At 44.9% G+C, this 22,360-nt stretch overlaps 2 protein-coding genes, 1 non-coding gene and 1 pseudogene across 8 annotated transcripts in view, besides 6 other annotated features; 2 read left to right on the top strand and 2 right to left on the bottom strand.

Moving 5' to 3' along the window:
• The window catches only part of ZNF207 (zinc finger protein 207), a 31,729-nt gene extending 31,111 nt beyond the window's left edge, over positions 1 to 618 (bottom strand). For all 3 annotated transcript variants that reach the window (NM_001098507.2, NM_001032293.3, NM_003457.4), the window contains exon 1: positions 449 to 618. In NM_001098507.2, coding sequence (NP_001091977.1) covers positions 449 to 489 — 41 coding nt within the window. In that variant the 5' untranslated portion in view covers positions 490 to 618. The remainder of the gene's footprint in view (positions 1 to 448) is intronic.
• Positions 529 to 878: an enhancer, noted in NCBI's record as "active region_12029". NCBI's record gives its function as "activates an Ori minimal core promoter by ATAC-STARR-seq in GM12878 lymphoblastoid cells {active_cell/tissue: GM12878}" and the evidence as "EXISTENCE:reporter gene assay evidence [ECO:0000049][PMID:35858748]".
• On the bottom strand, positions 573 to 666 carry MIR632 (microRNA 632). Its single transcript, NR_030362.1, has one exon. It is a non-coding gene; the product is annotated as a microRNA 632 (primary transcript).
• C17orf75 (chromosome 17 open reading frame 75) lies at positions 761 to 22,334 on the top strand. Of its 4 annotated transcripts, XM_005258022.5 has the most exons (11): positions 761 to 833; positions 8,654 to 8,775; positions 9,491 to 9,571; positions 10,837 to 10,962; positions 12,424 to 12,567; positions 12,821 to 12,878; positions 15,333 to 15,452; positions 15,936 to 16,000; positions 16,170 to 16,306; positions 17,255 to 17,358; positions 18,797 to 22,334. In XM_005258022.5, exons 2-11 carry the CDS (start codon positions 8,660 to 8,662, stop codon positions 19,010 to 19,012), a joined length of 1,167 nt encoding a protein of 388 aa, XP_005258079.1. In that variant the 5' UTR covers positions 761 to 833; positions 8,654 to 8,659; the 3' UTR covers positions 19,013 to 22,334. The 4 variants fall into 4 exon arrangements, with proteins under 4 accessions (XP_005258079.1, NP_071739.2, XP_016880430.1 ...); NM_022344.4 differs by lacking the exon at positions 761 to 833 and having other exon boundaries at positions 8,602 to 8,775; XM_017024941.3 differs by lacking the exons at positions 761 to 833; positions 8,654 to 8,775 and adding an exon at positions 8,822 to 8,912.
• Positions 1,049 to 1,168: an enhancer, noted in NCBI's record as "active region_12028". NCBI's record gives its function as "activates an Ori minimal core promoter by ATAC-STARR-seq in GM12878 lymphoblastoid cells {active_cell/tissue: GM12878}" and the evidence as "EXISTENCE:reporter gene assay evidence [ECO:0000049][PMID:35858748]".
• Positions 4,177 to 4,358: a silencer, noted in NCBI's record as "fragment chr17:30673436-30673617 (GRCh37/hg19 assembly coordinates)". NCBI's record gives its function as "represses an EF-1alpha promoter that drives an FKBP-Casp9 reporter gene in an ReSE screen in K562 erythroleukemia cells {active_cell/tissue: K562}" and the evidence as "EXISTENCE:reporter gene assay evidence [ECO:0000049][PMID:32094911]".
• Positions 6,651 to 7,001, top strand: OOSP1P2 (oocyte secreted protein 1 pseudogene 2; annotated as a pseudogene).
• Positions 8,035 to 8,921: an enhancer, noted in NCBI's record as "H3K27ac hESC enhancer chr17:30668873-30669759 (GRCh37/hg19 assembly coordinates)". NCBI's record gives its function as "activates a minimal SCP1, AML or CMV promoter by ChIP-STARR-seq in naive H9 embryonic stem cells {active_cell/tissue: H9 hESC(naive)}" and the evidence as "EXISTENCE:reporter gene assay evidence [ECO:0000049][PMID:30033119]".
• Positions 8,816 to 8,895: a silencer, noted in NCBI's record as "silent region_8420". NCBI's record gives its function as "represses an Ori minimal core promoter by ATAC-STARR-seq in GM12878 lymphoblastoid cells {active_cell/tissue: GM12878}" and the evidence as "EXISTENCE:reporter gene assay evidence [ECO:0000049][PMID:35858748]".
• Positions 9,390 to 9,572: a silencer, noted in NCBI's record as "fragment chr17:30668222-30668404 (GRCh37/hg19 assembly coordinates)". NCBI's record gives its function as "represses an EF-1alpha promoter that drives an FKBP-Casp9 reporter gene in an ReSE screen in HepG2 liver carcinoma cells {active_cell/tissue: HepG2}" and the evidence as "EXISTENCE:reporter gene assay evidence [ECO:0000049][PMID:32094911]".
• Positions 22,335 to 22,360: the final 26 nt, after the last annotated feature.

Here is a 22,360-nt window from a genome sequence, read left to right as displayed (position 1 = left end):
AAAACACACATAAAGTAAATAAAAACAGAAAAAGTGGGTGACAGACTGTGAAGCTGTCCCCAACCCTCCATGAAAGTAATAAGCCTATCGCACTCGAAGAAAAGTCCCTTGTTGAATCGTCACCAAAACAACGGAAGGTGGCTGAATAGTCCCTAGGGGACACTGTCCCTGGCGGAGGGGTCCAGGCCGCCTCCCGGAGTCCAAAATTCGCACCGAACAAGATCCTCCTGAGTCACAGAGTCACACGACCCACAACTGCAAAAGCCTGTCGACCTCGGAACCCCATTTTCCTAGAAGCCTTCCCAAGTCCAATCCCAGCCACCAGGCCACCCACGCAGACGCCTAAATACAAACGCTCCACGCCGTAAGCCAAATCCAGGCCTCCTAGTCCCAGGCCCCAACAACCGGCACCCCAACGCGACCTCGACTTCAAACCGACAAAGGATACCAGCACCACGGCTTCAGCTGCTTCTTCTTCTTGCGACCCATAACTGTGTTCTACCGGCAAAGTAAAAGGGAGGAGAAAAGAAGCAGGAGAAACGAGGCCAAAAATCCCTCACTTTCCCAACCCAACGGCTACCACCACGTCCCACAGGAAGCAGACACAAAATGGCCGACGGCCTCGTTCCCCGCTCCGCCTCCCGTCAAGCACTGCGGTAGGAGGCGGAGCCAAGAAGGGGAGGGTCACATGACGCAGACCTCCGCCCTGAGTGGGTGGGACTAAGAGGCGCGAAGAGGTGGCAGCCATCTTGTCCGTTTCAGAGTTTTTCGCTTTCGCTGGCTGTGCTTGCGGAGCACTTTGGGTTTCATTTGTAAAGGAGCCGGAGCCCCAGGTACGCTAAGGGGCATGCGAATGGAAAACAGAAAACAAAAAAACGGAAAAGATTGCCAGTGCAGTTAGGGCCGATCACAAATAAAGATAGAGACAGCGCCCAATTTTAATTTTGTTTCAATTGAACAGTAAATGTTGATTATGTGCCTATTAAATGCTAAACCAAATAAGTTAGTCTCTGCTTTGTAACTCGCAGATTGGTGACAGACGAGTACACAATGCAGAGTTCTCAGTGCGGCGTTGAGGGAAATGCGAAGTGCTGTAGGACCTCAGAGAGCGGGAGTCCTAGGGCGGCTGTAGTGGTAGTGGTCGTTGGGTTGTCAAGTAAAGTTTTGTTTTTCTTTGTTTTGTTTTATTTTTCTGAGACCAAGTCTCGCTCTGTCTCCCAGGCTGGAGTGCAGCGGCGCGATCTCTGCTCACTGCAACCTCCGTCTCCCGGGTTCAAGCGATTCTCCTACCTCAGCCTCCCGAGTAGCTGGGACTGCAGGCCCGCGCCACCAAGCCCGGCTAATTTTTGTATTTTTAGTAGAATGGGGTTTCACCATGTTAGCGAGGCTGGTCTCGAACTCCTGGGCTCAAGTGATCCGCCCGCCTCGGCCTCCCAAAGTGCTGGATTGCAGGCTTGAGCCGCTGCGCCCGACATAAGAAAGGTTTCTTGAGGAGTCAACGGGAGCAAGCAAGGTGAAGGAAAGGGTATCTCCGTAAGGGAGCAAAGAGTTTAAGTCTTTGAGGCTGGGCACGTGAAAAACTAATCGTGGTAAGACTGGAGCTGATAGCCGGGCGCGGTTGCTCACGCCAGTAATCCCAACACTATGGGCCAAGGCCGAGGCAGGCGGATCACTTGAGGTCAGGAGTTCGAGACCAGCCTGGCCGACATGGTGAAACCCTGTCTCTACTAAAAATACAAAAATTAGCCAGGCGTAGTGGCAGGCGCCTGTAACCTCAGCTACTCGGGAGAATGAGGCAGGAGAATCACTTGGACCTGGGAGGTGAAGGTTGCAGTGAGCCGAGATCTCGCCATTGCATTCCAGCCTGGGTGACAGAGTGAGACTCCGTCTCAAAAAAAAAAAAAAAAGACTGGAGCTGTCAGTGAAGGTGCTGGTCACAAGAGATAATCCTAGGGAGGCTAGCAAAGGCGGGTTCTGGCGAACCCTAGAAGCATTCTCAGAAGTTGGATTTCAGCTGAAGTCTCTGAGAAGGCACAGTGGTTCTAAGAGGGCAACTGGAGGATCATGCAAGTGAGAGGTGGTTAAAAGTCCAGTGCTTGGGTTCATAGTCCACCAGTGCCACTGCTTAGCTGCCTGACTTTGGGCAAGGCAGTTAAACTTCATCTTGGCTGCACTTAAAACAGAGCTTAGCATATAATAATAACTAGTAATGTAAATTATGTTACTATTAAAAGCAAAAAATAATAGCAGACATCCATGGAGCACCTACCGTGTGCCAAGCATTGTAGTGAGTTTTAACATTATTTGTCTCAGCCTCTGGGGTAGGAGCCATTATTGTCAACTTGTTAATAGAGATGAGATAAAAGAGACTTAAGAGAGCTGGAATAATTTGCCCCAAAACACAAAGTATGTGTGGAGCTGAATTAAATTTGAATTTTAAAGGATCAGTTTGGGCTGTGCGCAGTGGCTCACACCTGTAATCCCAGCACTGTGGGAGGCTGAGGCGGGTGGATCACCTGAGATCAGGAGTTGAAGACCAGCCTGGCCAACATGGTGAAACCCGGTCTTTACTAAAAATACCAAAAAAAAATTAGCCAGGCGTGGTGGGGCACGCCTGTAATCCCAGCTACTCCGGAGGCTGAGGCAGGAGAATCGCTTGAACCCGGGAGGCGGAGGCTGCAGTGAGCCGAGATCACTCTGCTGCACTCCAGTCCGGGCGACAGAGCAAGACTCTGTCTCAAAAAGAAAAAAAAAAAAAAAGTTCAGGCTGGGTGCAGTTGCTCAAGCCTGTAATTGCCGTGCTTTGGGAGACTGAGGCAAGAGGGTGGCTTGAGGCCAGGAGTGTGAGACCAACCTGGGCACCATAGTGAGACCATCTCTATGAAAAAATAAATTGAAAAATGAAAAAGTTTAAAACCGTATTGCAATGTGCTGAATATCCCCCCAACTGCTTGAAACGTAATCACCAATGTGATAGCATTAAGAGTTGGGACCTTTAGCAGGTGATTAAATCATGAGTAAACTGGGTGGGGGGGGATTAGTGATTTTATTAAAGTGCTGGAAGGAACTAAACTCTACTCTCTCTTGCCTCAACCAAATGAGGATGCAGCAAGAATGCCCTCATCAGACACTGAGTATTAGTGCCTTGATCTTGGATTTCCAAATTTCCAGACTATAAGAAAATATAATTCAGTGGGTGTGGTGGTGGCTCACCCCTGTAATCCCAACACTTTGGGAGGCTGAGGTAGGTGGATCACCTGAGGTCAGGAGTTCGAGACCAGCCTGGCCAACATGATGAAACCCTGTCTCTACTAAAAAATACAAAAAAAATAGCTGAGTGTGGTGGCGGGCGCCTGTAATCCCAGCTACTCTGGAGGCTGAGGCAGGAGAATCACTTGAACCCAGGAGGCGGAGGTTGTAGTGAGCCGAGATTGCGCCATTGCACTCCAGCCTGTGCAATAAGAGTGAAACTCCATCTCGGGGGAAAAAAAAGAAAGAAAAGAAATAAAATTCTGGCCAGGTGTGGTGGCTCATGCCTGTAATCCCAGCACTTTGGGAGGCCGATGTGGGTTGATCACCTGAGATCAAGAGTTCGAGACCAGCCTTGCCAACATGGCAAAATCCTGTCTCTACTGAAAATACAAAAATTAGCTGGGCATTGTGGTGGGTGCCTGTCATCCCAGCTACTCAGGAGGCTGAGACAGTAGAACCCAGGCTGAGGCTTGAACCTGGCAGGTGGAGGTTGCAGTGAGCTGAGATTGTGCCACTGTACTCCAGCCTTGGTGTCAGAGTGAGACTCCAGCTCCAAAAAAAAAAAGAAAGAAAGAAATACAATTCTGTTATTCATAAATTCCCCAGTCTGTGGTGTTTGTTACAGCACCATAAACAGATTAAAACACTTTTACTATGAAAGCAATAAGCAATAAAATATTGCTGTTAGTTGGGAGGCTTAGGCAGGCGGATCACCTGAGGTCAAGAGATTGAGACCATCCTGGCCAACATGGTGAAACCCTGTCTCTGCTAAAAATACAAAAATTAGCTGGGCCTAGTGGCGTGTGCCTGTAGTTCCAGCTACTCGGGAGGCTGAGGCAGGAGAATCGCTTGAACCTGGGAGGCAGAGGTTGCAGTGAGCCGAGATCGTGCCACTGCACTCCAGCCTGGCAACAGAGCGAGACTGCGTCTCAAAAAAAAACAAAAAAAAATTGCTGTTAGAAATTAAAGAAGGCCTGGTGCGCTAGCCCATTCCTGTAATCCCAGTACCTTGGGAGGCTGAGGTGGGAGAATCACTTGAAGCCAGAAGTTTAAGGCGAGCCTGGGCAACAAAGCAATATCCTGTCTCTATGAAAAAATTAAAAATTAGCTGGGTTTCGGTGGCCCAGGCTGGTAGTGTGCAGTGGTGCAATCGTAGCACACTGCAGCCTTGATCTCCTGGGCTCAATGGATCCTCCCACCTCAGCCCACGGAGTAGCAGGGACTACAGGGCCATGCCACCATGCCTTGCTAATTTTTGTGTTTTTTGTAGAGGTAAGGTCTCGCTTTGTTGTCCAGGCTGGTCTTGAACTCCTGGGCTCAAGTGATCCTCCTGCCTTAGCTTCTAAGTGTTAAGATTAACAAGCGTGAGCCACCATGCTGTGCCTCTCGTTGTAGTGAGTTTATAGATAAGCAAGGGGAGGAGGCTAGAATGATCCATGCGGCCATGGATTAGAGCTGGAGACACCAGAATGAACTCGTGTTTATTTTAAAATAGATACATAGAGAAATATTTATGGATATGTGTATATACTAAAGTTAGTATAGATACATATATCAGCTGAGAGGGCCTAGAAGCAATAATGTCCCATATCAAGCATACTTTGTCCAGAGATCTTGGTTTGTAATACCATTCTCCAGTAAAAGCAACCTGAGGTCCTTGGAGAAATGGTTGATTCGGACCAGGCACGGTGGCTCATGCCTGTAATCCCAGCACTTTGGGAAGCCGAAGAGGGCAGATCACGAGGTCAGGAGTTCAAGACCAGCCTGACGAACATGGGGATTCTGCTGCCTCAGACTCCCGAGTAGCTGGGACTACAGGCATGCGCCACCACGCCCGCCTAATTCTTATATTTTTAGTAGAGACAGGGTTTCACCATGTTGGCCAGGGTGGTCTCAATCTCCTGACCTTGTGATCTGCCTGCCTCAGCCTTCCAAAGTGCTGGGATTACAGGTGTGAGCCACCGCGCCCGGCCAGGGGAATTCTTTTCAACCTAGAATTCGATGTCCAATCATATCAATCTAAAATTCTATTTCTTTTTTCCCCCCTGAGATGGAGTCTTACTCTGTTGCCCAGGCTGGAGAGCAGTGGCATGATCTTGGCTCACTGCAACCTCTGCCTCCCAGGTTCAAGTGATTCTTCTGCCTCAGCCTTCTGAGTAGCTGGGATCACAGGCGTGCACCACCAGGCCTGGCTAATTTTTGTGTTTTTAATAGAGACGGGGTTTCACCATGTTGGCCAGGCTGGTCTCGAACTCCTGACCTTGTGATCCGCCTGCCTCAGCCTCCCAAAGTGCTGGGATTACAGGTGTGTGCCACCATGCCTGGCCCCTAAAATTCTATTTCTAAGGAATATCCAATCAAATGTGAAAATACAATAAAGACGTGAGGATATATTTTCAGACATGCAAGAGCTTAAAAATTATTTTATATATACCCTTTCTTGGCTAATATTGGAGGCAGTACTTGAGCAAATCAAGAGAATAAACCATAATCTAGAAAAAATGGGATTAACAGGGAAGAATGTGAAGAAATCCAGATAAGAATAGAAGAAAGGGTTGTTGGGGGGGACTCTATTACTTCCTTTCTTTCTTTTTTTATTTTTATTTATTTTTTTTTGAGACAGAGTCTCACTCTGTCACCCAGGCTGGAGTGCAGTGGCATGATTTCGGCTCACTGCAACCTCTGCCTCCCGGGTTCAAGTGAGTCTTCTGCCTCAGCCTCCTGAGTAGCTGTGACTACAGGTGTGTGCCACCATGCCAGGCTAACTTTTGTATTTTCAGTAGAGATGGGATTTCACCATATTGGCCAGGCTGGCTTCAAACTCCTGACCTAGTGATCCACCCACCTCGGCCTCCCAAAGTGCTGGGATTACAGGTGTGAGTCACCACGCCCGGCCGTATTAGTTTCTTTCTTTCTTTTTTTTTTTTTTTTTGAGACAGAGTCTGGCTCTATGGCCCAGGCTGGAGTGCACTCTGCCTCCCAGGTTCATGCCATTCTCCTGCCTCAGCCTCCCAACTAGCTGGGACTACAGGTGCCCACCACCTCACTGGGCTAATTTTTTGTATTTTTAGTAGAGATGGGGTTTCACCGTATTAGCCAGGATGGTCTCGATCTCCTGACCTTGTGATCCGCCTGCCTCGGCCTCCCAAAGTGCTGGGATTACAGGCGTGAGCCACCACACCCAGCCACTGTATTAGTTTCTTATGGCTGCTATAACACGTACCACCTGGGCATGGTGGCTCACACCTGTAATGTCAGCACTTCGGGAGGATGGGGCAGAAGGATCACTTGAGCCCAGGAGTTCAAGACCAGCCTGAGCAACAAAGTGATACACTGTCTCTATAAAAAATAAAAATACAGCTGTTTCCTGAGTGAGATTTGGCTTTCAGTCTGGGCAAATGAAGACCATTTTGCGGTTAAATGGGCTCTTTTTTCTCAATTCCTTGATATGGACCTGTGCTGGGGACTGGTCGGCTATTCAAGTACAATGCACCCAGTTTTGGTTCTGTGCCAGGATTAAACCCACGATATTTCACAATTTGTATATGAACCCCGATGAAGTGTTTCTAGGAGATGGCTGCCTTGTAACCTAGTTTTGCCAAATATCTACTATGAGTTTTTCTACCATCCTCATGACTGTGGTAACTCAACCTCTCCAGGAAGTTCTTCTGCTTAAAACTAAAATCAAGTATATCTCAAGAGACTACTGCCGATCTGAAATGCCTCTGTCATGTGTTGTCCGCAATCAGAATCCTCTTTTAAATGTAGTTGAAATGAGAGATAAGGAAACTGACAATGTTACTGAATGGGAGATAGAGGTGAGGATACCCATTGCGAATGAAGACATGGCAGTAACTTCTGCAATACAATCTTTTAAGAATCTGACTGCTATACTCACTTGTTCATCAAATGAGTACCTTTATTGCAAGAGAAGAAACTGTGCTATCCACTTTGATATGGAGAGGCAATTTGGAATCTCTGCCATAATTGCTTAGGACTGAGGATTTAATGTGCTATTTTGTGAAAATCTGAGAAGCAGGAAGGGGATTTAACGATCTCAACTGTTATCCATCTGAAAAACCTAACTTGTAATTTTAAATGAAATGGCAGGTTGCCTTCCACTATTCCTTTTTAAAAATAGGAACTGCCCCTGCTTTTAACTTTATGAAGTTTTATTTATGAATAAAGTTTGCACTACTAAAAATAAAAAAAAAAAACACAAAACACACGCATGCACACACACACGGTGGCTTAAAACAATGGAAATGTATTATTTCACAGTTCTGGAGGCTGGAAGTTGACATGGAGGTGCTGGTGGGGACATACTCTCTTGAAGCCTCTAGGGGAGAATCTGTTCCATGTCCTCTCCTAGCTTCTGGTGATGACCATCAATCCTTGACATTCCTTGGTTTGTAGATACATCACTCCAGTCTGCCTCCTCCTTCACGTGGCGCTATGGTTTGAGTGTTTGTCCACTCCCAAATTCATGTTGAAATGTAATTGCCATTGTAAGACTATTAAGAAGTGGGGCCTTTAAGAGCTAATTATAAATTGCCCAGTCTTTGGTATCCTTTTATAGCATCATAAAATGGACTGAGACAGAAAACTGGTACCAGAGAATGGGGTGTTGCAGAAACAAACACCTGAAAATGTGAATTGGTGTTAGAACTGGGTAATGGGCAGAGACTGGAAGGGTAGCTGGCATTACAGGCGTGAACCACCACACGTGGCTAATTTTTTTGTACTTTTAGTAGAGACACAGTTTCACCATGTTGCCCAGGCTGGTCTTGAACTTCTGACCTCAAGTGATCCGCCTGCGTCGGTCTCCCAAAGCACTGGAATTACAGGCGTGAGCCACCGTGCCCGGCCTTTTAGTTTTTACGTAGTCATTTTTTTAAACGTTTTCCTGTATGACTTCTAAGTGTTTTGTTATGTTTGGAAAGACCCTCTTCAAGAATTAACAAAATTATCCCATATTTTCACTTTAACAAAATTCATTTTAAATTCTTAACTTTTTGATCAAACGGGTGTCTGTGCGTGCTGGCACGCGCGCAAGGAGGCAGACGAGTAGCCTTATTCTTTTCCATGTGGCTAGGTAGTTGTGCCACCTTTATCACATAGAAAGTTTCCCAGATGTCTCAAAGGAAAATAAGTTCAAAATAAATGGTAAAAGCTTGTCAGTAAAGGCGAACTCAGTACGCCTGTCAGCCCCTGTGGGGAGAAGAGACTCCCTTTCCAGGCCAGTCCTTGCCTGCGAACCCGGGGAAACCAGCGGAACGCAGGTGTGCGAGGGCCGGGAGCCGGACGAGCCCTGATACCGACGGCTGCACGGGAGCAGGGGAGCGGTTTGGCGGAGACACAGGGCCGCTCAGAGGCCGCCGCAATGCTCCCCTCTTTGCAGGAGTCGATGGATGGAGATGAAAAGGAACTAGAGAGCAGCGAAGAGGGAGGCTCAGCCGAGGAGCGGAGACTCGAGCCGCCGTCCAGCAGCCACTACTGTCTTTACAGCTATCGCGGAAGCAGGTGCTGGCGCCCAGCTCGGCCTGCCAGCCCGCCCGCCCCTGCGGCCCCGCCCCCGGCCCGCCGCCCGGCCTTGCACCCCACCCCCGGCCCAGCGGCCCGGCCGCTCCTAAAAGCCATCTTCTCCTCTCCCAGCCAAGGTCTCTGGCCTGAAGGGCGCTCCTCGCCTCCCGCTGCTCTTCCTGGCCCCCGTCGTGGACTTGTATGCCTGGCCCAACCATGCCTGTGCCCTTCATCTGCCCCTATATCATCCCAGCCTCTTACTCTCGCGGCTGCCCTTTGTTTAGCGCAGTGCCCCGCATGCTCAATAATTTCAGTTCCCGTCCCCTCTCCTTTCTGTCATTATCTCCCCACTTCTCCCATTTCTGTCACACACACCCCCATCCCCACCCTCTGGTTTTCCTCTGTTCTTGATTCCTCTTTTTCCTCCTTCTGACTTTCCTGGAACCTTCTTGGCCTTGTCAAGTTTGGTTTTTAAAGGAGTTTCCTTGAACCTTCTGGGTATTTAGCCTTTCCTCCACCCGTTAAGTGGCCTGGAGAGAGAAGGGGCTCTTGTCAGCACTGCTGTATGGGTTTTCCTTGTCATGAGGATAGGCAGTGCACTTCCACCTTGCAGCATTTTTAGTTGACTCCTTGCCTTACCCTGCTTGCCAGGCCCCCATACTCCTCTTGGTTTAGAGCCCATAATTGATAGCACTATTGGTTTTGTGGCTTGTAGATTGGCACAGCAACGAGGGGACAGTGAGGACGGAAGCCCAAGTGGCACAAATGCAGAAACTCCCTCTGGTGATGATTTCAGGTAAAAAGAGCTTCAGCATAATTCATGCATGTGCTTTCATCTTCCCTGCATCTCTGGCCTGTACATGTCAGTGGATACTCTATTTCCACTGAGCTTTCCCTGAGTCAAACCGTCAATTCCTCCTATCCCCTAGGAACCTCATCCTGATTTCCTCATTGGCTGGTTCATTCAAGGCTGGGGCAAACAAATCCACATACTGATAGTGTGCTTGGTGATTAGCCAAAAAGAAATCCTTTTTTTTTCTTTTTCCTTTTAAATTGAGACAGGGTCTTGCTCTGCTGCCCAGGCTGGAGTGCAGTGGCATGACTTTGGCTCGCTGCAGCGTCAACCTCCCCGGCCTCAGGTGATCCTCTCACCTCAGCCTCCCCAGTAGCTGGGACTACTGACCACCACGCCTGGCTAATTTTTGTATTTCTGGTAGAGATGGGGTTTCACCATGTTGCCCAGGCTGGTCTTGAACTCCTGGACTCAAGTGATCCGCCCACTTCTGCCTCGCAAAGTGTTGGGATTACAGGCATGAGCCACCTTGCCCAGCCCTGAAAAATTTTTTTTTTTTTTTGAGACAGAGTCTCCCTCTGTTGCCCAGTCTGGAGTGCAGTGGTGCGATCTCAGCTCACTGCAAGCTCTGCCTCCCGGGTTCACGCCATTCTCCTGCCTCAGCCTCCCGAGTAGCTAGGACTACAGGCACCCACCACCACGCCCGGCTAATTTTTTTGTATTTTTTTTTAGTAGAGACGGGGTTTCACTGTGTTAGCCAGGATGATCTCTATCTCTTGACCTTGTGGTCCACCTGCCTCGGCCTCCCAAAGTGCTGAGATTACAGGCGTGAGCCACTGCTCCCGGCCCCAGCCCTGAAATTTTTAAATCATCAATTATACCTCAATAAAGTTGAAAGATAAAAAAGATAAGAATGTGTGCAGGGGTGTGATTATAATGACTGACCATGGAATTAAGGCAGAATAAGGAGGGAAGTGAGATGAGAAACTTGAGAGACTGAAAAAGAGGTAGGGTCAGTGGATTGGGGGTTCCAGTGGAGTCACAGTACTGGAGAGAATGAGCTGGAAAGATAGGAATATTTTAAGCTATTTGATGAGGTAGATCATACTTAGTGACATACATTCCTAGAAGCCTCACCAATAGGGGTCATAAGGACAGCTTTCCCCAGTCCTTAAAAGAGCCCCTGGCGTTGGTACCATTCTGTCTGACTTAATGGGTGTGAATACCCTAGTCCACTGGTAAAGAATGTGTGTCTTTCATTTGTCAAGCCTCTCCTTGGCAGATACTAATCTACCATCCGAAGTGGAGCCAGAGCTGCGCAGTTTCATTGCTAAGCGTCTTTCAAGAGGTGCAGTCTTTGAAGGGCTGGGTAATGTTGCATCTGTGGAGCTAAAGTAAGTGCAAAATGTGCTGTGTCCTGAGTTTTTATTTCTGAACTAAATATGAGAAGTGATGAGAAACTCCAAAAGATCAGCTCCTACTAGACCTGCAGAATTTGTCTTTATTCTCTGGCAGCCCGAGCACTGGGCCTCACACATAAACATTTGTGGAATGGAATTAATTGAATGGCAGAGACCCTGGCACCCAATTGCACTTTATTTAATTAGTTTATTTTTTTTTGAGACAGGGTCTTGCTTTGTTGCCCAGGCTGGAGTGCAGCGGCCCGATTACAGCTCACTGCAGCCTTGACCTCCTGGGCTTAATCAATCCTCTCACCTCAGCCTCCCAAGTAGCTGGGACTGCAGGCAGGCACTACGATGCCCAGCAATTTTTTTAATTTTTTTTTTTTTTTTTTTTTAGAAATGGGGTCCTACCATGTTGCCCAGGCTAATAAGTTTTGTACTTAGAAGAAGAAAAGTGTTGATTATTAAAACTAAATTTGTATACAGTTTGTATTTTCACAAACTTTTATGTAGTTTTCCTTACAAAGGGGAAATATAGCAGATACTCTCTTATTTTCATTTTCAGATGAGGAAATAAACTCAGAGTTTATGTAAACTTAAGTCATGAGGCTGGTCAAATTGATGGAGTTCAGGCTTAAACATGAGCATTCTTAGTCCAATTCCAACTGTCTTTCCATTACACCTCTCCTTTTTTGTTTTGTTTTGTTTTTTTTAAGACAGAGTCTCACTCTGTTGCCCAGACTGGAGTACAGTAGCATGATCTTGGCTTACTGCAACCTCCGCCTCCCTGGTTCAAGCAATTCTCCTGCCTCAGCCTCCCGAATAGCTGGGATTACAGGCATGCACCACCATACCCGGCTAATTTTTGTATTTTTAGTAGAGATGGGGTTTCACCATGTTGGCCAGGCTGGTCTCGAACTCCTGACCTCAGGTGATTCACCCGCCTTGGCCTCCCAAAGTGCTGGGATTACAGGTGTGAGCCACTGTGCCCGGCCTCCATTACACCTCTTTATTCTAGTTCAACTCAGACCGTGAAGTTAGCATACAGGTCCTCAGGAGTTTGAGGCCACTTCCCAAGGATAAGGCCACCTTCAGGCACATCTGCCTTAAACATCAATTTGTGAAGCTTTGGGAGAGGGGAGAACATACTTTTTTTTAATATAAACATGGGTATGAACTAGAGTGAAATTTGTGTGAATTTTTCACATAAGACAGGAGAATTCAAAGAAATTTCATGTATGTTAGTGGCTGCTTTAACTAAAGCCCTCCAGGGTATACATTCATTTTTCTTTGCTGCTGCAAGTACACCAACGAGAAGTCTGGGAAGCTCTGAGTTAGTGGGCAGTTTAATGGTGTTGCCAGATCAAGATGACCAGAATTCAGAGCAGTCCACAAAATTATAGATGCATGAGTAACCAAAATAATGCATTTTACATTTTCTTTCTTTTCTAGAATTCCAGGTTACCGAGTTGGTTGTTATTACTGCCTTTTCCAAAATGAAAAACTGCTTCCTGAAACAGTAACGATAGACTCTGAACGTAACCCTTCAGAATATGTGGTCTGTTTTTTAGGAGGGTCTGAAAAAGGACTTGAGCTATATCCTTTCTTTGGTTTTTGAGAACATCAGGAAGGAAAACATGGGAAGGCAGGTGGAAGAATATTACTACCAACCTCCAAAAAGCTTTTCTACTCCTCGTGTATTTAGTTGAATTTCATACCTTCATGTGGCCATTTTGCCTTGGCTTGTTTGCATTTGCAGCTCACATTATTTGAGAGATTTTATATTTCTTGTTGAGAGATGAAATACTGTCTTCATTATTCATCCTTTATTGCTTCCTTAAGAACATACTTTCAGGCTTGAATTGGACAAGTACATTCAAGGGCTGAAAAATAACATGAATTGTGAGGTAAGGTGACTGACTTAATGGTTTTTAAAGACTGAAATGGGGCCAGGCTCAGTGGCTCACGCCTGTAATCCCAGCACTTTGGGAGGCCGAGGTGGGCAGATCACAAGGTCAGAGACCAGCCTGGTCAATATGATGAAACTTCATCTCTACTAAAACTTAGCCAGGCATGGTGGCAGGCACCTGTAGTCCCAGCTACTTGGGAGGCTGAGGCAGGAGAATCGCTTGAACCCGGGAGGCAGAGGTTTCAGTGAGCCGAGATTGCACCACTGCACTCCAGCCTGAGCGACAGAGTTAAAAAAATAAAATAATGACTGAAATGATTAATATACTGTGATTGCTCTACTTGTCAAATCATATAGGTAGACACAAAGACGCCTGTATTCTAGAAACTTGCCACCTTGTGAGCTAGTAGAGAGGTGAATTTTTTTTTTTTTTAGACAGGGTCTTGCTTTGTTGCCCAGGCTGCAGGGCAGTGGCGCGATCAGGCTCACTGCAGCCTCAGCTTCTTGGGGCTCAAGCAGTCTTCTCGCCTCAGCCTCCTAAACAGCTGGGACTACAGGCAAATACCAACACGCCTGGCTAACTTTTGGTATTTTTTGTCGAGATGGGGATCTCACTTTGTTGCCCAGGCTGGTCTAGGATTCCTGGCCTCAAGCAATCCTCCCTCCTCAGCCACCCAAAGTGCTGAGATTACAGACACGAGCCATTGTGCCCAGCCTACAGGTGGTTTCTTTTTCTTTTTCATTTTTTGAGATAGGGTCTCACTCTATCACCCAGGCTGGAGTGCAGTGGCACGATCATGGCTTACTGCAGCCTTTTCTGGGCTCCAGCGATCCTCCCACCTCAGCCTCCCAAGTAGCTGGTACCACAGGCATGCACCACCATGCCCAGCTAATTGTATTTTTGGTAGAGGTGGGGTTTTGCCATATTGCCCAGGCTTGTCTTGAACTCTTGAACTGCTGAGCTCAAGTAATCCACCTGCCTCGGCCTCCCAAAGTGCTGGGATTACAGGTATGAACCACTGCACCCAGCCTACAGGTGATCTTAAAGGGATACAGGAAACATAGTCCTGTAAGTGCTGAAAGTTTCACAAGACTACGTCTGATGTTTTGTATCTATGAAAAATTCGATCTATTCAATGGCATGTAGTAACATGCCTGGCGAGGAAGAGGATGTCCTTTTCCTGATTTCTAGGCATATAAGATTTATATTATGGTCAGAAGTACTGGTCCATGCAGCCTCTGGCACCAAAGACATGCTATGCAATAGTATGGCTGTTCTTGAACTAAACATCAAAGATTCTTAAAAACATTCTATTTTCATTAATTGATCTTTTATGAATTAGGCATATCCATATCAACTTATTCAAACCTTTGAAAAACTGGCTGGGTGTGGTGGCTCACACCTGTAATCTCAGCACTTTGAGAGGCCAAAGCGGGCAGATCACTTGAGCCCAGGAGTTCAAGGCCAGCCTGGGCAACAAAGTGAAACCCCATCTCTACAACAAATACAAAAATTAGCCAGGCATGGTGGCACGCACCTGTAGTCCCAGCTACTTGGGAGGCTGAGGTGGGAGGATCGCTTGAGCCTGGGAAGTTGAGGCTGCAGTGAGCTATGATTGCACCACTGCACTCCAGCCTGGATGACAGAGTGAGACCCTGTCTCAAAAAAGCAAACAAAAACAATGCTTTCAGCTTGTAGCAGTTGTTAGTCATGACTCTCACAAATTTACTACCCATTACATATATAGTAGAAGTTATACTTTTCACATACTTAGAAGATACTGCAGGAGAGAGGAAGGGATAGTGCAGGAGTGAGCAACTGATGCAAGTCTAATAGAGTTGTTCTCCCGGACTAGAGCTCTTCGTGTGTGACACTAGTCTTCAGGGAGCAGTATAGCCTAGAAAGCCAGATGTGCTCACGGTAGCATGTCTGACATCTGGAGTGGAGTGGAGTGCTTTGATGAGTTACTTGTATCCTTCCCCATTCACATTCTGAATACGAATGAATTCTCTATCTACATGACTAATTCAAAAGGCACTTAATAAGCTCATACTATGCATGTTTTAGACACTGTACCACAGGTGCCAGGGAAATGAGGATTATTGAGTGAGTATCTCCATTGAGTGCACAGTACAGTGGGAGGAGAGGGACTTGTGAGTGCCCAACTCTTCCCTGTGAAGAAATAGCATGGAACCCTATTCAGTCTCTTCATTTTATAGAATGCATTTCTTGGTGTGTTTTAAATAAATTCAGTACAGATTTAACCCTCACCCTGCCCAACAAGCCAGGAAAGGTATATCACAATTTCTTTTTTTGAATTGGTGGTGTTAGCTTTAAAAAGGGAGGTGTCTATCCTGGTCTTTTTCACCATCAAGGATATGATGAAGAAAATATGAAGTCCACTAAAGGAAAGGCTTATATTAAAGCAAATGATGTTCTTTCTTGATTTAGGCAAGGGGCCTGGAGAGTCACATAAAATCCTATCTGAGCAGCTGGTTTGAGGATGTTGTATGCCCAATCCAAAGGGTTGTTCTTCTCTTTCAGGAAAAGCTTACCTTTCTGCTACATGCTGTAAGTACTGCCAAATGAGAGCATTTCCTTAACTGAGAATCACTTTGGATGATTTAGAAACATACTCATTTTCTCTGAACATGACTCCCATCCCTCCCCAAATATTCAAACTATGCTTGCTATCAAGATAGACCACACTTTATTTTCTCAGATCTAGAAAGTGATATTACTAAGGTAGAGTTGAATTTCAAATGCTGAGTCTTCCTAATAGGATAAAACATTTTAAAATAATTACTTTTCCAAGTGATCTGGGAAAGGTATAGTTTCCAAAACAATTTGAAAAGGAAAACAAAAATCCAGAGCAATTTTGATTCTATAAAATGTTAATGAGCAGTGGCTGAACAAGGCTCTGGAGAGCTTGTGACCAGTGCCCATCAATTGTTGTCCAGTGTGGTAGGGACTTATGGGGACATTTAGTCATGAGTAGCTGCTCAAGAAAAACTGGAATATATGTACCAATCAGGCTTTATTTTTCTCTCATAGGCTTTGAGTTACACTCCTGTTGAAGTTAAAGAATCAGATGAAAAAACAAAGAGAGACATTAACAGGTAAAGAACAGTTTTTTCAAAGAGAAAAGCTTTTCCACAGCAAGATTGACATCTGTGTTTGTAAACTGCTCCTTCCATCCCTTCCCCACCAGCCCAGTGCAAAATAAATTTGTTTTCATCCTTCCGTCCTGCAATATTGTTTGTGGAAATGGACTTGTGTGTGTGGCAGGTTTCTGAGTGTGGCCAGTCTTCAAGGACTTATTCATGAAGGCACCATGACTTCTTTGTGCATGGCCATGACAGAGGAGCAGCATAAGTCTGTGGTCATCGATTGCAGCAGCTCCCAGCCTCAGTTCTGCAATGCAGGTGAGCTACAACCTCTGAAGCAGCCTTCCTACATCTCTTGCGAGTCCCCATCTTTGCACTGAGAGCCTATGATACAACCTTATTCTTCCTGCCTTGTGCAGTTTTACATGGTTATCTCAAACCATGAGAAACCACTTGGTGAAAACAATATAATTCTAGAAACATGGAAATCATGCCATGCCTAGCAATTCCACACCTAGGTACATAAAGAAATTCTAGTATGTGTACACAAGGAGATGAATTTTAAAATGTCCATAAAGGCATTACTTGAAAAAGCAAGGAATTGGAAGCAATTTAAGTGTTTATCAACAAGAAAACTGATAAGCTGCTATATTCATGCAATGGAATATAACAGAGCAGTGAAAAAGAATGAACTAGAGCTACTTGTGTCAATATAGCTCTCAAACATACTATTTAGTGAAATAGCCATAAAAGAAAAAATACATAAAAGTTTTAACATATGCAGAATAATGTAGATAAGGCTTACACGTGCAAAGGTATATGGGAAAAGTTTAAAGACGTCTGTGGGAATGATTATCCTCTCTGATGGGAAAGGAAGGGGGATGTGATTGGGAAGGGGCATACAGGGGGCTTCAGCCATTTTGGTATTCCTTAGCCATGTGGTGAGCACACTGTTTTTTTAGGCCATTATACATGTCTTAAATAATTCATTATAGGTGTTTTTATAAAGAAATAAATGGGTCAGGCGCAGTGGCTCACACATGTAATCCCAGCACTTTGGGAGGCTGAGGCAGGTGGATCATCTGAGGTCAGGAGTTTGAGACCAGCCTGGCCAATATGGTGAAACCCCATCTCTACTAACGATATAGTTAGTACTCCGGCTGCACTCCAGCCGGGCAACAAGAGCGAATCTCCCGTCTCAAATAAATAAATAAATAAAGCTTTGTAAAATTTCATTTTATTTAGTCTCTCTGAAATGTTTTATAGGAAGTAACCGGTTTTGTGAGGATTGGATGCAAGCTTTTTTAAATGGTGCCAAAGGAGGTAACCCTTTTCTTTTCCGACAAGTACTGGAGAACTTTAAACTAAAGGTAATTAGTTGGCTGTGTGCCAAGTGCCACATGAAATTTTTGTCTGAATTTTAATTAGTACCAGTGACAGAGTAACAAATTGCTTTATAGCTGTGATGTCTGTTAATTAGGATGTTCTCAAAACTGGAATTATCAGAAGACATTTACTTTATTTTTTGGCAGCTTCTGTATACATATCATTTCTAATAAATTGGGTTGAATGCTTGCTTATATTTAAGGAACATCAGTCTTACAATTTGTGACTTAACTTAGTTGGAAAGCACAAAAAAACTGGTTCAGTGGCTAAGTTTTCAAAATTCTGATGGGGGCTGGGCGCAGTGGCTCACCCCTGTAATCCCAGCACTTTGGGAGACCATGGCAGGTGGATTGCTTGAGGCCAGGAGTTCAAGACCAGCCTGGCCAACATGGCAAAACCCTTTCTCTACTAAAATTATAAAAATTAGCTGGGCCTGGTGGCGCATGCCTGTAATCCTGGCTATGTCAGGTGGCTGAGGCACGAAAATTGCTTGAACCCAGGAGGCAGAGGTTGCAGTGAGCCCAGATTGTGCCACTGCACTCCGACCTAGGTGACAGAGTGAGACTCTGTCTAAAAAAAAAAAATTCTGATGGGGACGTGTTGTCACCTTATTTAGTTTTGTTTGTTTGTTTTAAGAGACAGAATCTTACTCTGTCACTCAGGCTAGAGTGCAGTGGTGCAATCATGGCTTACTGCAGCCTTAACCTCCTGGGTTCAAGCAGTCTTCCTGTCTCAGCCTCCTGAGTAGCTGGAACTACAGGTGTGCACCACCACACTCAGCTAATTATTTTTATTTTTTGTAGAGACGGGGTCTTGCTGTGTTGCCCAGGCTAGTCTCAAACTACCGGCCCTTAGGCAATCCTTTTGCCTGGGGCTCCCAAAGTGTTGGGATTACAGACATGAGCCACCATGCTAGGTAGATTATTTTAAAGTATTTTTATTTTGTATAAGAGATTTTTGGCTGCGCGTGGTGGCTCACGCCTGTAATTCCAACACTTTGGGAGGCTGAGGCGGGTGGATCACTTGAGGTCAGAAGTTCGAGACCAGCCTGACCAACATGGTGAAACCCCGTCTCTACTGAAAATACAAAATTAGCCTGGTGTGGTGGCACACACCTGTAGTCCCAGGTACTTGGGAGGCTGAGGCAGGAGAATCACTTGAACCCAGGAGGCAGAGTTTGTGGTGAACCGAGATCAAGCCATTGCGCTTCAGCCTGGGCAACAAGAGCGAAACAAGAAAAAAAAGGAGATTTTCTTCTTCTACCAAGGGCAAAGCATACTGCAATTTAAATTTTGGAAATATTTAATATGAAAAGCAAACAATTCAGGAAGATATGTTGAGTTCTCAGCTGGATAGGAGTTATTTTTTGAGCTTCATTATTATTTCACTTAACACATTTTTAACTGGGTAATCATTTTCTAGGCCATACAAGACACAAACAATTTGAAGAGATTTATCCGACAGGCAGAAATGAATCATTATGCTTTGTTTAAATGTTACATGTTCCTAAAGAACTGTGGTAGTGGAGATATACTTTTGAAGATTGTTAAAGTGGAACATGAAGAAATGCCTGAAGCCAAAAATGTGATAGCTGTCCTTGAAGAATTCATGAAAGAAGCTCTTGACCAAAGTTTTTGATCATATGTTTTGAGATAATTGTATGATCAAGTTGTATATTTAAGTCTTAGTGTTTGAAATTGCAGTTATAATTGTTCATAGGATTGCTATTTAAGATGATTTGAAACTCAATCCAGATTTTCTTTTTGTATTTTACCAATTTAACTTAAATAAAAATCTGAAGAACATCTTCACTGAGTCCTAGATAGATAATGTATGTGAGAGTTGTGAAATTTTAGTGTCTCACTGGCCCCATAAATTCCACGCTTCAGGAAGTTGTTGCTTAAAAAATTTCAGAGATGATTTTGTTTGTGGCTTTTCTCAGGAAAAGCCTGAGTTTGCTGCAGTATTTAGCAACTTTTCTTCTCAGAAAAACCATAATACTTCCTTTTCAGTGGACTGTAGCTTCTTAAAAAAAAAAATGTAATTCTAGTCTTAGAACAGATTAATACCACTACACCAGTTCAGAGATAGATCTGTGCATCCTGTGGGTGCTTGATACATTTTTTTGTCTAGTTGATAACGGCATGGATGATAAAGTCAGATTTTAAGTCAATATGCAAATCCTGAGTATGTAGAAAATTAAATGAGCTTTACAAATCGATGCACTAGCTTCAAGATAAAATATTATCTTTGAGCTGGGCGCAGTGGCTCAAGCCTGTAATCCCAGCACTTTGGGAGGCTGAGGCGGGCAGATCATGAGGTCAGGAGATCGAGACCATCCTGGCTAACACAGTGAAAGCCCGTCTCTACTAAAATACAAAAAATTAGCCGGGCATGGTGGCGGGCGCCTGTAGTCCCAGCTACTCTGGAGGCTGAGGCAGGAGAGTGGCGTGAACCCAGGAGGTGGAGCTTGCAGTGAGCCGAGATCGCGCCACTGCACTCCAGCCTGGGCGACAGAGCGAGACTCTGTCTCAAAAAAAAAAATAATTATCTCTGAGAGAAAGCTACTGCAGAAATCGCCTTCAGTCACCATTTCATTTATTTGTTCACAGGTATTTATGAAGAGCCTGTGTTTTCTTTTAGGTGAAAATGCTGGAGTTTTAAAACAGTGTTGAGAAAAGAAACAAAGTACATACAGTTTACAAGCAAACTGTAACATAAGGAATGCAAACAGTTTCTTCCTATTAGAGTTACTCATTGATTTTAGTTTTTTGTACATTTGTTACAAGCCTCAGATTGTTTTACTCTGAATCAATTGAAAGTGCCCTCAGCTAGCCATTTACAATTCCCATGGAAGCCTATGTAGCTACATACATACAATTGCAATTTGCTCGGGATAGCTCTTTAATAAATTCATTTGATAATGATTTTTGCTTAGAAGAACAGAAGTCTTGTGTTCTCACTTCCCTGAGGATGCTCAGAGGAGCACAAACCCATAAAACTGAGGAATCCTCTCTTAAATGGATCTAAATTCACATTAAGTGCTGAGTTTTAACTTTCAAAATGACTGACAATGGCCTTCTGCTTTCTCCTCTACATAAGCCTCGGGACATGACTCACATTTCTTTTCTTTTAATGAGAAATACAATTCAGAATCTTCATAAATGCTTTCATACGGTTTTAAACTTTAATAACTTGGAATGTAGGCAGTATAGAAAAAAATCTAAGTAGCATTTTTCATAGTATTAAAGTGAGAGTGGCTGGGCACGATGGCTCATGCCTGTAATCCCAGCACTTTGAGAGGCCGAGGCAGGTGGATCACCTGAGGTCAGGAGTTCCAGACCAGCCTGACCAATATGGTGAAACCCTGTCTCTACTAAAATTACAAAAATTAGCTGGGAACTGTGGCATGTGCCTGTAGTCCCAGCTACTTGGGAGGCTGAGGCAGGAGAATCGCTTGAACCCGGGAGGCAGAGATTGCGGTGAGCCGAGATCGCGCCACTGCATTCCAACCTGAGTGACAGAGCGAGACTCTGTCTCAAAAAAATAAAGTCAGGGTGACTAAGGAAAACCAGCAATTTTATGACACTGTCCTTGAATCTGACTGTCTTTTCCCAATGTAGTTGGTTCCCCACTTGGAAATCATTTTTTAAAGTAAGCTACATTAGCACATCAACGTTTTAAGTCTGAAAAAATACTTCATTTTCAAATTCATGTCATTCAAGAGTCTATGTTGTAAATGGCATTTAAAAGCAAATGTGTTACCTGCTTCAAATCATTTATGGATATAGGCAAGGTGTAATTACATATTCTCTGTGTGGTTGTATATATTTTTGTAATGTAGGCTCACTACATTACACAGCTCTATATGATAGTCTTATTTTATCTTTTTTTTTTTTTAATGAAATGGGGTCTCACTATGTTGCTCAGACTGGTCTTAAACTCTTGGACTCAAGCAATCCTCCCACCTTGGCCTCCCAAACTGAGCCACTGCACCCGGCCTCTGGTAGTCTTATTTTAAAAAAAGTAAGTCTGGGCTGGGTGTGGTGGCTCATGCCTGTAATCCCAGCACTTTGGGAGGCCTAGGCGGGCAGATCATGAGGTCAGGAGATCGAGACCATCCTGGCTAACACGGTGAAACCCCGTCTCTACTAAAAGTACAAAAAATTAGCCGGGCGTGGTGGCAGGCGTCTGTAGTTCCAGCTACTCGGGAGGCTGAGGCAGGAGAATGGCGTGAACCCGGGAGGCGGAGCTTGCAGTGAGTCGAGATCACACCACTGCACTCAAGCCTGGGCGACAGAGCGAGACTCCGTCTCAAAAAAAAAAAAAAAGTCTGACAAACTCTGTATCACTACTGTAGACAAGGAAAATGGTGTCATGGAACTGAATATCTTGGTCATGAGAAGAAACCACAGAGTTCATGACTAGAAACATGTACTGTATTCAAATTTTAATAAGCTACTATCTTGGCTTTTAAAGTTGTTTTTTTTTTTGTTTTTGTTTTATTTTTTAAGACAGAATCTCGCTCTGTCACCCAGGCTGGAGTGTGGTGGTGCAATCTTGGCTCACTGCAACCTCTGCCTCCCAGGTTCAAGTGATTCTCCTTCCTCAGCCTCCCCAGTAGCTGGGACTACAGGCATGTGCCACCATGCATGGCTAATTTTTTGTATTTTTAGTAGAGACGGGGTTTCACCGTGTTAGCCAGGATGGTCTCGATCTTCTCACCTTGTGATCCACCCGCCTTGGCCTCCCAAAGTGCCGGGATTACAGGCGTGAGCCACTGTGCCCAGCCAGCTTTTAAAGTTTTAAAAAGGATTTGTTCAGACATGGAATATATTTGTGTATATTACTTGTGTGCTGTACACACAGAGGAAATGTATGTTTGTCATGTATGAAGAATGGCTTCAGTTTCTCTGTAATTAATTTGTAATTATAATAATAAAACTTAGCTTCTCATCAAGACAGTTGTTTTTGTTTAATGAGCTC

This window comes from Homo sapiens, chromosome 17 (assembly GCF_000001405.40).
Source record: "Homo sapiens chromosome 17, GRCh38.p14 Primary Assembly".
Classification (NCBI taxonomy): domain Eukaryota; kingdom Metazoa; phylum Chordata; class Mammalia; order Primates; family Hominidae; genus Homo; species Homo sapiens.
The sequence above is the reverse complement of the archived record's forward strand: the minus strand, read 5'-3'. Positions and strand labels throughout refer to the sequence as shown.

Coding starts and splice junctions, on each gene's coding strand:
- C17orf75 (NM_022344.4), top strand. CDS start 8,636: ATGCTCCCCTCTTTGCAGGAGTCGATGGATGGAGATGAAAAGGAACTA. Junction 15,453..15,935: donor TTACCTTTCTGCTACATGCT/GTAAGTACTGCC, acceptor TTTCTCTCATAG/GCTTTGAGTTACACTCCTGT. Junction 16,307..17,254: donor GCCTCAGTTCTGCAATGCAG/GTGAGCTACAAC, acceptor AATGTTTTATAG/GAAGTAACCGGTTTTGTGAG.